We start from the raw sequence: 14,729 nt of genomic DNA, 5'->3' as shown, positions 1-14,729 counted from the left end.
TCTCTGCCTCTGCCATTGCATGGTGTTCTCCCTGTCTCTCCTCTGTGTCTATCTAAACACCCTTCCCCTTTCTCTTATAACGAAACCAGTCGTTAGATTTAGGAATCACCATACCCAGTATGCCCTCATCTAAAGTTGGTTACATCTGCGAAGACCCTATTTACAAATAAGGTCACATTCACAGGTACCAGGGGTTAGAAGAAGTTAAACATATATTTTGGGGAGGATACGATTCCACTTCCTACAGCCAAGTTCCCAAGCCTCTGAATCTTTAGCCAGCCATTTCACTGAAAATATACCAAGAGGATGATATACACCGTGGTTGCCAACTCCTGTTTGCGCTCCAACTCTTGTGACCCAGCGAGGCCTAGATTAGAGGCAAGCTCTGCAACCTGTCTATTTTTACTTTAATATTAATTGAGTTCCAACCTCATTCTAAAAGAGACTAAGAGTTAAAATCCAAAGAGGCAACATATTCCCCAAATGGCAATGGTAGAGACAGAAAGATAAAGGGAATGAATTCCTCAAAAGAACTGCATATCAAACCAAGATCTTTCAGTGCCTATGCTTTCCCTGCTGAAAGTTCCACTTCCACTGTGGCTAATTAAAAGTTGGATATTTATCAGCTGATTAGATGAAAGAAATGAGCTCTCTGTAGAGGTTGAATGCCTCAAATATTCCTCAGAGGCAATAATTTTGTCTTAATTATTTTGTAACTTAAAATAAAAGATTGCTTAAATCAGTGATGTGCTGGTAAGCTGGGTCTATTTTCTTAAAAAAGCTCTGATTTATAGCATTTATCAATTCACATGGTATGAATAAATATTCCCACCATGGTCAATCTCATGATACCAATGGTTTAACAACTGGCTTGAAAAACCACTGAAAATTGTCAACTAGATCTTTAGAACCAGTGTGAGTTGGTTCCAGCACTCGACTGAATCAGTTCATCAATTTGCTGCATGACAATTCAGAAGAGCCTGCAATGACATGGAAAGTATAGACGGGAATATGGTCACATTATGGTTTGGAATCTGGAACATATGTAAAAGGAAGCATTCACTATCACAAAAACGTTAAGTAATTTTTATTTGTTAAAAGCTAATTAAATCAGCCGGGCACAGTGGCTCACGCCCGTAATCCCAGCACTTTGGGAGGCCAAGGCGGGCGGATCACGAGGTCAGGAGTTTGAGACCAGCCTGACCAAAATGGTGAAACCCCATCTCTAAGAAAAATACAAAAATTAGCCGGGAGTGGTGGCATGCACCTGTAATCCCAGCTACTCAGGAGGCTGAGGCAGGATAATCGCTTGAACCCCGGAGGCAGAGGTTGCAGCAAGCCGAGATCATACCACTGCACTCCAGCCTGGTTGACAGAGCAAGACTCCATCTTTAAAAAAAAAAAAAAAAAAAAAAAAGCTAATTAAATCAACAAAATGATAGCATATGTAAAATTGTCAGCTATTTCAAAACTTATAATCTTCAATGTTGGTGAAGATACATGACATGGGTTATACTTACACATGGCTGGTGGATGTTTAAATTGATATAAACTTAATGAAAATAATTAACTTTTACAAGAAGCTTGACAAACTTTATGTTCTTTTATGTTGTAATTTTTTGTTATGATACTTCTAATTTTTTTTTGTTAAAAAAAGATATCAAGCTCTTTAAGGTACTTAAGTCCCTTCTAACTGTCTCCCCAACTTCACCCTCTTCCTCTTCCCTTTCATATACACTCCAACCATACTTCCCTTCTAGCATTTTTCAAACATAGACAAGAACCTTCCCTACTTTGCACTTTCCATTTTCTCTCCTGCCCTTTGTTCCTGCATGGCAGTTGCATGGCCAACTTCCTCGTTTAATTCAGGTCTTATCAAATATTATCGTTTAGACAGATACCTCTGCCTAAAACAGTACTGCCTCTATCATGCTGTATTCTTTTGCTCTGAAGTAGTTTTCCTTGTAGTACTTATTACTTTACTTTGTATTTTTTTAATTGTTGTTTTGTTTTTTTTTCTGTCTCCTCCTACTATATAGGCTCCACAAGGCAGGGATCATGTTTATCTCTTTTACTGTGGAATTGCCATCCCTAGAACAGTGGCTATCATGCAGTAGGCACTCAATAAATATTTGTTGAAACAAGAAATGAATGAATAAGTACACGAATGAATCTCAAAAATCTTTTATTTACAAATATTTCCATTACTTTTTTTTCTTAGAATCTGCTTACTATTTTCTTGTAAGTATGTACCACAACTTATTTAATCAATCCTCTATTAAAAGATATTTAGGTCATTTTAAGTGTTCCCTCTTGTATTAAATATCCTTGTATGTACATCTTTATACACCTGCATATCTATAGGCTAAATACCTAGAGCTAGAATTTCTGGGTTAAACAATATATACTTAAAATATCAGTAGATATTTCCAAATTGCCCTCAGAAAGAGACATATGGCCCTGTTACCTTACAGGAGCATGAAAATAAAAATTAAAAAAAGAGTTAAGTGGATTTGTATTCTTTAACTGACTACAAAAAACTTTTATAAAATCCTATTTCTGATTTTTGAAAGAAAATTGGTTTACAAACAGGGCTGGATAGATATTTAAAATTCTTGAAAAATATAGGTAATATAGATATTTCAAACCAAAAGCCAGCCTCAGGCTTGATGAAGAAAGACAAGAAGAATTTATGTCTATATTAAGAACAAGACAAAGATGCTCACCAAAGACAAAAGTGTTGGATATTTCAAGACTTTGGAGAAGGTTGATGGATGAGGCATGAGATGATGAGTTGGGTAATCAGGGTCAACAGGGCATTTCAGATACAGATGTGCAGTTGTATACTGCACAAGGGTACACATATAAGAGAATACATTCACATGATAAACATCACAGATACAGATGTGCAGTTGTATACTGCACAAGGGTACACATATAAGAGAATACATTCACATAATAAACATCACAGATTTGTGTATTTTATATGAATTTTTTTTTTGGTGATAGTGGGAAACCATATTGTTCTTAGAAAATCAGGATATTATGTCAGGTTTGTGAGGGATGAAAGGAAACTGTCTTGAGGAAGAATGCCTTTCCCTAATCTTCTCAAAAGTAGAAAATGGGCAAGTTTTGGCTCTAAAAGACAGCATCAAACATGGCCTGGCTCAGGCCATCAATTTTATCAGGAGCTAAGTGGATCCAAGCTAGAAACTGACCACCTGTTGTCACTGGGTGAGCGCTGTATGTGGCCTGGACTGATGTGCCCCAAGATCAGTTTCCTCATTGTAGTCTGGTGAGGATCATCCATTGACAGTTGTTTGTCAATTGACAGCTAAAGATTATCTGGCAGAAGCGAGGCCTGCCCAACCTCTGAGATTTCTTGAGACCTATGACTTTGCCTACCCAGAGCTTACTCAAGCCTCTTTAGAGGGTGGGATTCCTGACTTGAAAGATGGTGGTATGGGAAGAAAACTTCCCAGGACTTATTTCCAGGTGAGACAGATAGTCATATGTATATATACCTGTGTCATAATATTGTTTGATAAATTCAAGGAATTATAAATACATGGTATCCAGGAATAGAATTCTCTACAATGAATCCAGTTTCTTCAAAAGAAAAGAAAGATTTTAGAAATAGAAGAAACTGATGACCAGAATAATAGAAATGAAAATTGGGTCAGATTGGAATGAAGATGAACATAATTCAACACACGAATTCCCTATTTTTAAACCAAAATGGCCATTATTGTCCACATCTCCAAGTCTCTCTTGCTTATCAACTATCTGTACAACAAATGACTGATTGGTACTATACTGGGGCAAGTTGTCACCACGGGGAAGGAGAGGCATCTCTGGAGCTCTGAATTTCCAGATACATGGGCCCAATGCCACATGGAAAAAAAAATCTGTCTCAATTTTTGGTTGTTCCCAGAACAGACCAATTCCCTTATTTAATCTGTGCTTTAGCATGCATTTCTCCACCTAAAAATATTGTAAGTGATACTAGCCCTGTCTATAAGAGCCTTTTAAAACCACATCATATTTATATTATTTATTTGCTATTCCCATTTAATGCTTTCATGTAACATTAGAAAGCATTTTATTTTTAAATGCATTTAGAAAAATATGTAAAAGGATGACAAAATGATTTAAAGGCATAATCTTGAACTGAAATTGAAAATAAAAGAAGTTATGACCTGAGAGAGTACGAGTCAAGTGCTAAAAAAGGTCTTAGATTTTTTTTTTACTCTCCATTTAACAAGTATTTATTAGGTACCACATATATTAAGAATTTTGTGAGATATTATAAAAGGTAGACAAGAAATGGCCCAAAGTTGATGAGAAGCTTATTGTTCAATAAGGAGATGAGACTTGCTTGCATGCAAATAACAAGGGAGTCAGGGGTTAAATAACAAAGCACCAACAGGTTGCCTGTGCCACAGTGAGTCTGCAAGCACAGCCTGCCATGTTACAAAATAATTCAAAGTCAATGGAAATGTAGAAAAGATTTCTTGGAAGGAGCAGAATTCGAGCTATATTTTAGGCTAGGCAGTATTCTTTCAATTCATTAAGCAACATAAGCAGTGACTTTCAGAGTGAAAATAAGCAGGAACTCCATTTCCAAAACAACCAACTCAAATGAAACAGATGATTCATGTTGTTCAAAAAGTTTGGATAGTTAGGAGGGAGAGGATGGAGGGAGTATTGGAGGTGCCAGATTATGGGGTGACTTAAAATCTGGCCATAGACACATGTCTTAACTCTGCACACAATGGGAAATTATTGCCAGTTGTATTAGTCAGGCTTCTCTAGAGAAACAAAACCCATAGGAGATACACACACACACACACACACACACAGTCATATACTGCATAATGATGTTTTGGTCAATGATGAACCACACATACAAACTTGGTCCCATAAAGTTATAATATTATATCTTTACTGTACCTTTTCTACATTTAGATACATAAAAACATTTATCCCATGTTACAGTTGCCTACAATATTCAGTACAGTAACATGCTGTACAGGTTTTTAGACTGGGAGAAATAGGCTATAACTATATAACCTAGATTTGTAGTAGGGCCTATACCATCTAGGTTTGCATAAGTACATTCTATGGTGTTTGCACAATGACAAAATCACCTAACAACACATTTGTCAGAACATATCCTTATCATTAAAGGATGTGCAACTGTATATACATACATGAAATTTATTATAAGGAATTGGATTAAATTGCCATCTGGACAGTGGAGACCCGGGAAAGCTGGTGATATACATTCCAATCCAAATCCAAAGACCAAAGAACCAGAAGCACTAATGGTTTAAGTTTTAATCTAAAGGGAGGAGAAGACCAATGTCTCAGCTCAAGCAGTAGGGTAGAGGGGGCTAATTCAAACTTTCTCTGCCTTTTTGCTCTATTCAGGTCCTCAACAGATTGGATGAGGTTAACCTGCATTGCAGAGGGCCCTCTGCTTTACTCAGTCTACCAATTCAAATGTCAATCTTTCCTAGAAACATGAATCTCAAAGCATTCGGTGTTTGACTTGGAAATGAAGAGGTGAAGCCAACGTTTTATGCCTGGATGAAGCATTAGCAAAAATGAGAATTTTTTTGAGGGAAAAACCTGGTTTCAGAGGAAGATGATTTGGATCGATTTTGCACACTAAATTTCTCATATTCAAGTCCAGATTTAGGCAACTGGAGATGTAGAGCTTGGGTCTGAAGTCGTCACTGAGTGTTATGCCATGGTGAGCACAAGAGGTAAAGGTCCTTTGGCCTCCCAGATGACCCAAAATTATATAAAGTCTGATCAGTGGCTAGAGGCATTTTTATGTATATAGTAGTCAAATACGTAAAGTTTTAATACACTTTAGAGCCTATAGTTCTCAGAGCATAGTGGAACCAAGGAGAAAGGATCATAAAACAGAGCATCCAAGAAGTAAAAATGGAGAAACAGAAGATGATAGAGGGTCAAAGGAAAGATAGCTCCTAAGGCAAACCTTGCTGGAGGTGGCGGTGGTGGTAGGTCAGGGACCTCTGATAGGAATTCGAAGTAGAACAACCGGGAGGAGCAGGGAGAGCAGTAAGAAGAACAAATAGACCTGAGTTGAAAGAGGCGGCTGGAAAAACATAGTTTTTTGAAGGTAATCAAGTTGCTGACCACTTTCATAATGAAAATTAAGTAATACAATATACCATCTGATGTTAAGTGTTTATAATTCTTAGCTATTATTATTAGTAGTAGTAAGTTTACTTTATTTTATTTTATTTTATTTTATTTTATTTTATTTTATTTTATTTTATTTTATTTTATTGTACTTTAAGTTCTGGGATACATGTGCAGGATGTTCAGGTTTGTTACATAGGTATACATGTGCCATGGTTGTTTGCTACACCAGTTAACCCATCATTTAGGTTTTAAGCCCTGAATGCATTAGGTATTTGTCCTAATGCTCTCCCTCCCCTTTCCCCCCACCCCCTGACAGGCCCCAGTGTGTGATTTTCCCCTCCTTGTGCCCATGTGTTCTAATTGTTCACTCCCACTTATGAGTGAGAACATATGATGTTTGGTTTTCTGTTCCTGTGGTTAGTTTGCTGAGGATGATGGTTTCCAGCTTCACTCATGTTCCTGCAAAGGAAATGAACTCATTCTTTTTTATGGCTGCATAGTATTCCATGGTGTATATGTGCCACATTTTCTTTATCCAATCTATCATTGATAGGCATTTGTGTTGGTTCCAAGTGTTTGCTATTATAAATAGTGCTGCAATAAACATACGTGTGCATGTGTCTTTATAGCAGAATGATTTATAATCCTTTGGGCATATACCTAGTAATGGGGTTGCTGAGTCAAATGATTTTCTAGTTCTAGATCCTTGAGGAATCACCACACTGTCTTCCACAATGGTTGAACTAACTTACACTCCCACCAACAGTGTAAAAGCGTTCCTATTTCTCCACAGCCTCGCCAACATCTGTTGTTTCCTGACTTTTTAATAATCGCCATTCTAACTGGAATGAGATGGTATCTCATTGTGGTTTTTATTTTGCATTTCTCTGATGACCAGTGATGATGAGCCACATAAATGTCTTCTTTTGAGAAGTGTCTGTTCATATCCTTCAGCTACTTTTTGATGGGGTTGTTTGTTTTTTTTCTTGTAAATTTATTCTAGTTCCCTGTAGATTCTGGGTATTAGACCTTTGTTAGATGGGTAGCTTGCAAAAATTTTCTCCCATTCTGTAGGTTGCCCATTCATTCTGATGATAGTTTCTTTTGCTGTGCAGAAGCTCTTTAGTTTGATTAGATCCCATTTGTAAATTCTGGCTTTTGCTGCATTTCCTTTTGGTGTTTTAGTTGTGGAGTCTTTGCCCATGCCTATGTCCTGAATGGTATTGCCTAGATTTTCTTCTAGGGTTTTTATGGCTTTGGGTTTTTCATTTAAGTCGTTAATCCATCTTGAGTTAATTTTCTTATAAGGTGTAAGGAAGGGGTCCAGTTTCAGTTTTCTGCATATGACTAGCCAGTTTTCCCAGCACCATGTATTAAATAGGGAATCTTTTCCCCATTTCTTGTTTTTGTCAGGTTTGTTGAAAATCAGATGGTTGTAGATGTGTGGTGTTGTTTCTGAGGTCACTATCCTGTTCCATCATCGGTCTATATATCTGTTTCAATACCAGTGCCATGCTGTTTTGGTGACAGGAGCCTTGTCATATAGTTTGAAGTCAGGTAGCGTGATGCCTCCAGCTTTGTTCTTTTTGCTTAGGATTGTCTTGGCAATGCAAGCTCTTTTTTTGTTCCATATGAAATTTAAAGTAGTTTTTTTCCTATGTCTGCAAGGAAAGTCACTGACAGCTTGATGGGAATAGCACTGAATCTATAAATTACTCCTGGCAGTTTCACCATTTTCACAATATTGATTCTTCCTATCCATAAGCATGGAATTCTTTTCCATTTGTTTGTGTCGTCTCTTATTTCCTTGAATAGTGGTTTGTAGTTCTGCTTAAACAGGTCCTTCACGTCCCTTGTAAGTTGTATTCCTAGGTATTTTATTCTCTTTGCAGCAATTGTGAATGGGAGTTCATTCATATTTGGCTCTCTGCCTATCTATTGTTGATGTGTAGGAATGCTTGTGATTTTTGCACATTGATTTTGTATCCTGAGAATTTGCTGAAGTTGCTTATTAGCTTAAGAAGTTTTTGGACCAAGACGATAGGGTTTTCTGAATATAAAATCATGTCCCCTGCAAACAGAAACAATTTGACTTTCTCCGTTCCCATTTGAATACGCTTTATTTCTTTCTCTTGCCTGATTGCCCTAACCAGAACTTCCAATACTGTGTTGAATAGGAGTGGTAAGAGAGGGCATCCTTGTCTTGTGCCTGTTTTCAAAGGGAATGCTTCCAGCTTTAGCCCATTCCATATGATATAGGCTGTTGGTTTGTCATCATTAGTTCTTATTATTTTGAGATATGTTTCATCAATACCTAGTTTATTGAGAGTTTTCAGTATGAAGGGATGATGAATTTTATCAAAGGCTTTTTCTGCTACTATTGAGATAATCATGTGGTTTTTGCCATTGGTTCTGTTTATGTGTTGGATTACATTTATTGATTTGCATATGTTGAGCCAGCCTTGCATTCCAGGGATGAAGCCGACTTCACTGTGGTGGATAAGCTTTTTGATGTGCTGCTGGATTCAGTTTGCTAGTATTTCATTTAGGATTTTCATGTCAATGTTTATCAGGGATATTGGCCTGAAATTTTCTTTTTTTGCTGTGTGTCTGCCAGGTTTTAGTATCAGGATTATGCTGGTTCACAAAACGAGTTAAGAAGGAGGTCCTCTTTTTCTATTGTTTGGAATAGGGAGGAGGAATGGTACCTGCTCCTTTTTGTACCTCTGGTAGAAATTACTGTGAATCCGTCTGGTCCTGGGCTTTTTTTGATTGGTAGGCTATTAATTGCTGCCTCAATTTCAAAACTTGTTATTGGTCTATTCAGGGATTCGACTTCTTCCTGGTTTAGTCTTGGGAGGGTATATTTGTCCAGGAATTTACCCACTACTTCTAGATTTTCTAGTTTATCTGCATAGAAGTGTTTATAGTATTCTCTGATGGTAGTTTGTTTTTCTGTGGGATCAGTGGTGACATCCCCTTGATCTTGTTTTTTATTGTGTCTGATTCTTCTCTCTTTTCTTCTTTATTAGTCTAACTAGTGGTTCATCTATTTTGTTAATCTTTTCAAAAAAAACAGCTCCTGGATTGATTGATTTTTTTTGGAAGCATTTTGTGTCTCTATCTCCTTCAGTTCTACTCTAATTTTAGTTATTTCTGGTCTTCTACCAGTTTTTAAATTTGTTTGCCTTGCTTCTTTAGTTCTTTTCATTGTGATGTTAGGATGTTGATTTTAGATCTTTCCAGCTTTTTGTTGTAGCCATTTAGTGCTATAGATTTCCCTCTCAACATTGCTTTAGCTGTGTCCCAGAGATTCTGGTACATTGTCTCCTTGTTCTCATTGGTTTCAAATAACTTATTTATTTCTGCCTTAATTTTGTTATTTACCCAGTAGTCATTCAGAAGCAGGTTGTTCAATATTCATGTAGTTGTGTGGTTTTGAGTGAGTTTCTTAATCCTAAGTTCTAATTTGATTGCACTGTGGTCTGAGAGACTGTTTGTTATAATTTCCATTCTTTTGCATTTGCCGAGGAGTGTTTTACTCTCAATTATGTGGTCGATTTTAGAATATGTGCTATGTGGCACTGAGAAGAATGTATATTCTGTTGATTTGTGGTGGAGAGTTCTGTAGATGTCCATTAGGCCCACTTGGTCTAGAGCTGAGTTCAAGTCCTGAATATCCTTGTTAATTTTCTGTCTTGTTGATCTGTCTAATATTGACAGTGGGGTGTTAAAGTCTCCCACTATTATTGTGTGGGAGTCTAAGTCTCTTTGTAGGTCTCTGAGAACTTGTTTTATGAATCTGGGTGCTCTTGAATTGGGTCTTGACTCTTTTTCCAATTTGCCTATCTATGTCTTTTAATTAGGGCATTAACCCATTTACATTTAAGGTTAATGTTGTTTTGTGTGAATTCGATCCCATCATCATGTTGCTAGCTGGTTATTTTGTACATTAGTTGAGGCAGTTTCTTCATAGTGTCATTGGTCTTTATATTTTGGTGTGTTTTTGCAGTGGGTGGTACCAGTTTTTCCCTTCCATATTTAGTGCTTCCTTCAGGATCTCTTGTAAGACAGGCCTGGTGGTGACAAAATCCCTCATCATTTGCTTCCCTGTAAAGGATTTTATTTCTCCTTTGCTTAAGAAGTTTAGTTTGGTAGATATGAAATTCTGGGTTGAAATTTCTTTTCTTTAAGAGTGTTGAATATTAGCCCCCACTCTCCTGTGGCTTGTAGGGCTTCTGCAGAGAGATCCACTCTTAGTCTAATGGGCTTCCTTTTATAGGTAGTCTGACCTTTCTTTCTGGCTGCCCTTAACATTTTTTCCTTCATTTCAACCTTGGAGAATCTGATGATTATGTGTCTTTTGGTTGCTCTTCTCAAGGAGTATCTTAGTGGTGTTCTCTGTATTTCCTGAATTTGAGTGTTGGCCTGTGTTGCTAGGTTGGGGAAATTCTCCTGGATAATAAACTGAAGTGTGTTTTCCAACTTGATTCCATTGTCCTCATCACTTTCAGGTACACCAATCAATGTAGGTTTTGTCTTTCCACCTAGTCCCATATTTATTGGAGGCTTTTTTTTCCTTTTCATTCTTTTTTCTCTAATCTTGTCTTCATGCCTTATTTCAGTAAGTTGATCTTCAATCTCAGATATCTTTTCTTCCGCTTGATCTATTCAGCTATTGATACTTGTGTATACTTCACGAAGTTCTAGTGCTGTGTTTTTCAGCTCCATTAGGTCATTTATGTTCCTCTCTAAACTGGTTATTCTAGTTAGCAGTTCCTATAACCTTTTATCAAGGTTTTTAGCTTCCTTGCATTGTGTTAGAACATGCTCTTTTAGCTCAGGGGAGTTTGTTATTACCCACTTTCTGAAGCCTACTTCTGTCAAATTTGTCAATCTCGTTCTCTGTCCAGTTTTGTGCCCTTGCTGGAGAGGAATTGCGATAATTTGGAGGAGAAGATACATTCTGGTTTTTGGAATTTTCAGCACTTTTCACTTTTTTTCCTCATCTTCATGTATTTATCTACCTTTGATCTTTGAGGCTGATGACCTTTGGATGGGCTTTTTGTATGGGGGTCCTTTATGTTGATGTCGATGTTGTTGCTTTCTGTTTGTTAGTTTTTCCTCCTAACAGTCAGGCTCCTCTTCTGCAGGTCTGCTTCATTTTGTTGGAGTTCCACTCCAGACCCTGTTTACTTGGATATCACCAGTGGAGGCTGCAGTACAGCAAAGATTGCAGCCTGCTTCTTCCTCTGGAAGCTTCGTCCTAGAGGGGCACTGGCCTGATGCAAGCTGGAGGTCTCCTGTATGAGGTGTCTGTCAACCCCTGTTGGGAAGTTTTTCCCAGTCAGGAGGCACAGGGGTGAGGGACCCACTTGAAGAGGCAGTCTGTCCCTTAGCAGAGCTGGTGTGCTGTGCTGGGAGAATCTCTCTTGTCAGGATCAGCTGCTCTCTGCAGAGCTAGCAGGAAGGAACGATTAAATCTGCTGAAGCTGCACCCACAGCCACCCCTTCCCCAAGGTGCTCTGTCCCAGGAAGATGGGGGTTTTGTCTGTAAGCCCCTGACTGGGGCTGTTACCTTTCCTTCAGAGATGCCTGCCTAGTGAGGAGGAATCTAGAGAAACAGTCTGGCCACAGTTGCTTTGATGCACCCAGTCCAGACCTCCTTAGCACTGTCAGGGGAAAACCGCCTACTAAAGCCTCAGTAATGGCAGACATCCTTCCCCCACTAAACTTGATAGTCCCAGGTCACTTCAGACTGCTGTGTTGGCAGTGAGAATTTCAAGCCAGTGGCTCTTAGCTTGCTGGGTTCCGTGGGAGTAGGAACCGCTCAGCGAGACCACTTGGCTCCCTGGCTTCAGCCCCCTTTCCAGAGGAGTGAATGGTTCTTTCTCACTGGTATTCCAGGTGCCACTGGGGTATGAAGAAATGCTCCTGCAGCTAGCTCGATGTCTGCCAAAACAGCCACCCAGTTTTGTGCTTTAAACCCAGGGCCCTGATGGTATAGGCACACAAGGGAATCTCCTGATCTGCAGACTGCAAAAACTGTCAGAAAAGTGTAGTAACCCGGCGGAGTAGCCCAGTCCCTCATGGCTTCCCTTGGGTAGGGGGAGGTAGGGCCCTGGCTCCTTGCGCTTCCCAGGTGAAGCGATGCCCCATCCTGCTTCTGCTTGCCTCCATGGGCTGCACCCACTGCTTAACCATTCCCAGTGAGATGAACCAGATACCTCAGTTGGAAACGCAGAAGTCACCCACCTTCTGCATTGGTCTCGCTGGGAGCTGCAGACCAGAGCTATTCCTATTTGGCCATCTTAGCCCCTCCCCCCAATGTTACTTTTAAAAATGTAATTGTTATCCTTTTTCCTCATCTGGTGTAGTTTCAGTTTCTAGTCTGAGTCCTTCCCTAAACTGAGTCTCTTGAAACCTAGGAACCTGCCTTCTTCCTGATCCTTGAAATGAAAACTAAATACATGCTTGGCTATAGCAGACCATCAATCTTACCTATAGAATAAATATAAATAAAGATGCAGGAAGAAAGGAAGGAAGGAAGGAAATAAGTAAGTATTCTAGGTCAGAATACTCCATTTAAGAAACTATTTAGCCAGATGACATAATCTAATTGTAAATCATTGAAAGCATAAAAACACTTTCATTCAGTAAACCTAGTAGATTTGAATCAGGAAAATTCTGTATATGTGCTCTCAAAGACTTTATATTGTAAAATTAGTTAAAGCTCCAGCATAAGACCTCTTTATCAAAGATTAAATTGTGGTCTGAGTAGGATCCTGCCTCTTATACAAAGTGTATATAACATCTACTTCTAAGAAAAAAGAAGCTAGGCCAGGCGTGGTGGCTCAAGCCTGTAATCCCAGCACTTTGGGAGGCCAAGGCAGGTGGATCGCTTGAGCCCGGGAGTTTGAGACCAGCCTAGGCAACATGGTGAAATGCCATCTCTACTAAAAATACAAAAAAATTAGCCAGTGTGGTGGTGTGTGCCTGTAATCCTGGCCACTCTGGAGGCTAGGGCAGGAGAATTGCTTAAACCCGGTGTGTCCGGAATTGGTGGGTTCTTGGTCTCACTGACTTCAAGAATGAAGCCATGGACCCTCGCGGTGAGTGTTACAGTTCTTAAAGGCAGCGTGTCCGGAGTTTGTTCCTTCTGATGTTCGGATGTGTTCGGAGTTTCTTCCTTCTGGTGGGGTTTGTGGTCTTGCCGGCTCAGGAGTGAAGCTGCAGACCTTCGCAGTGAGTGTTACAGCTCTTAAGGCGGCGCATCTGGAGTTGCTCATTCCTCCTGGTGGGTTCGTGGTCTCGCTGGCTTCAGGAGTGAAGCTGCAGACCTTCGCAGTGAGTGTTACAGCTCATAAAGGCGGTGTGGACCCAAAGAGTGAGCAGCAGCAAGATTTATTGCAAAGAGCGAAATAACAAAGCTTCCACAGTGTGGAAGGGGACCCAAGTGGGTTGCCACTGCTGGCTCCGGCAGCCTGCTTTTATTTTCTTATCTGGCCCCACCCACATCCTGCTGATTGGTAGAGCCAAGTGGTCTGTTTTGACAGCGCGCTGATTGCTGCGTTTACAATCCCTGAGCTAGACACAAAGGTTCTCCACCTCCCCACCAGATTAGCTAGATACACAGTGTGGATACAAAGGTTCTCCAAGTCCCCACCAGAGTAGCTAGATACAGAGTGGTGATTGGTGCATTCACAAACCCTGAGCTAGACACAGGGTGCTGATTGGTGTGTTTACAAACCTTGAGCTAGATACAGAGTGCCAATTGGTGTATTTACAATCCCTGAGCTAGACACAAAGGTTCTCCACCTCCCCACCAGAGTAGCTAGATACAGAGTGTCCATTGGTGCATTCACAAACCCTGAGCTAGACACAGGGTGCTGATTGGTGTGTTTACAAACCTTGAGCTAGATACAAAGTGCGGATTGGTCTATTTACAATCCCTTAGCTAGACATAAAGGTTCTCCACGTCCCCACCAGACTCAGGAGCCCAGCTGGCTTCACCCAGTGGATCCCGCACCTGGGCTGCAGGTGGAGCTGCTTGCCAGTCCTGTGCCGTGGGCCCGCACTCCTCAGCCCTTGGGTGGTCGATGGGACTGGGCACCTTGGAGCAGGGGGCGGCGCTCGTCGGGGAGGCTCCGGTGGCACAGGAGACCACGGAGTGGGAGGGGAGGCTCAGGCATGGCGGGCTGCAGGTCCTGAGCCCTGCCCCGTGGGAAGGCAGCTAAGGCCAGGCGAGAAATTGAGCACAGCAGCTACTGGTCCAGGTGCTAAGCCCCTCACTGCCCAGGGCTGGTGGGGCCAGCCGGCCACTCCGAGTGCGGGGTCCGCCGAGCCCACGCCCACCCAGAACTGGCGCTGGCCGGCAAGCACCGTGGGCAGCCCTGGTTCCCACCCACGCCTCTCCCTCCACACCTCCCCGCAAGCTGAGGGAGCTGGCTCCGCCTTGGCCAGCCCAGAAAGGGGCTCCCACAGTGCAGCTGCGGGCTGAAGGGCTCCTCAAGTGCCGCCAAAGTGGGAAACCAGGCAGAGGAGGCGCC

General features: G+C 40.7%; 1 annotated feature.

Annotated features, from left to right (window-relative positions):
• Positions 13,912–14,429: an enhancer, noted in NCBI's record as "H3K27ac-H3K4me1 hESC enhancer chr8:92828759-92829276 (GRCh37/hg19 assembly coordinates)". NCBI's record gives its function as "activates a minimal SCP1, AML or CMV promoter by ChIP-STARR-seq in primed H9 embryonic stem cells {active_cell/tissue: H9 hESC(primed)}" and the evidence as "EXISTENCE:reporter gene assay evidence [ECO:0000049][PMID:30033119]".

Source organism: Homo sapiens, chromosome 8, assembly GCF_000001405.40.
Source record: "Homo sapiens chromosome 8, GRCh38.p14 Primary Assembly".
Lineage (NCBI taxonomy): Eukaryota > Metazoa > Chordata > Mammalia > Primates > Hominidae > Homo > Homo sapiens.
The sequence above is the reverse complement of the archived record's forward strand: the minus strand, read 5'-3'. Positions and strand labels throughout refer to the sequence as shown.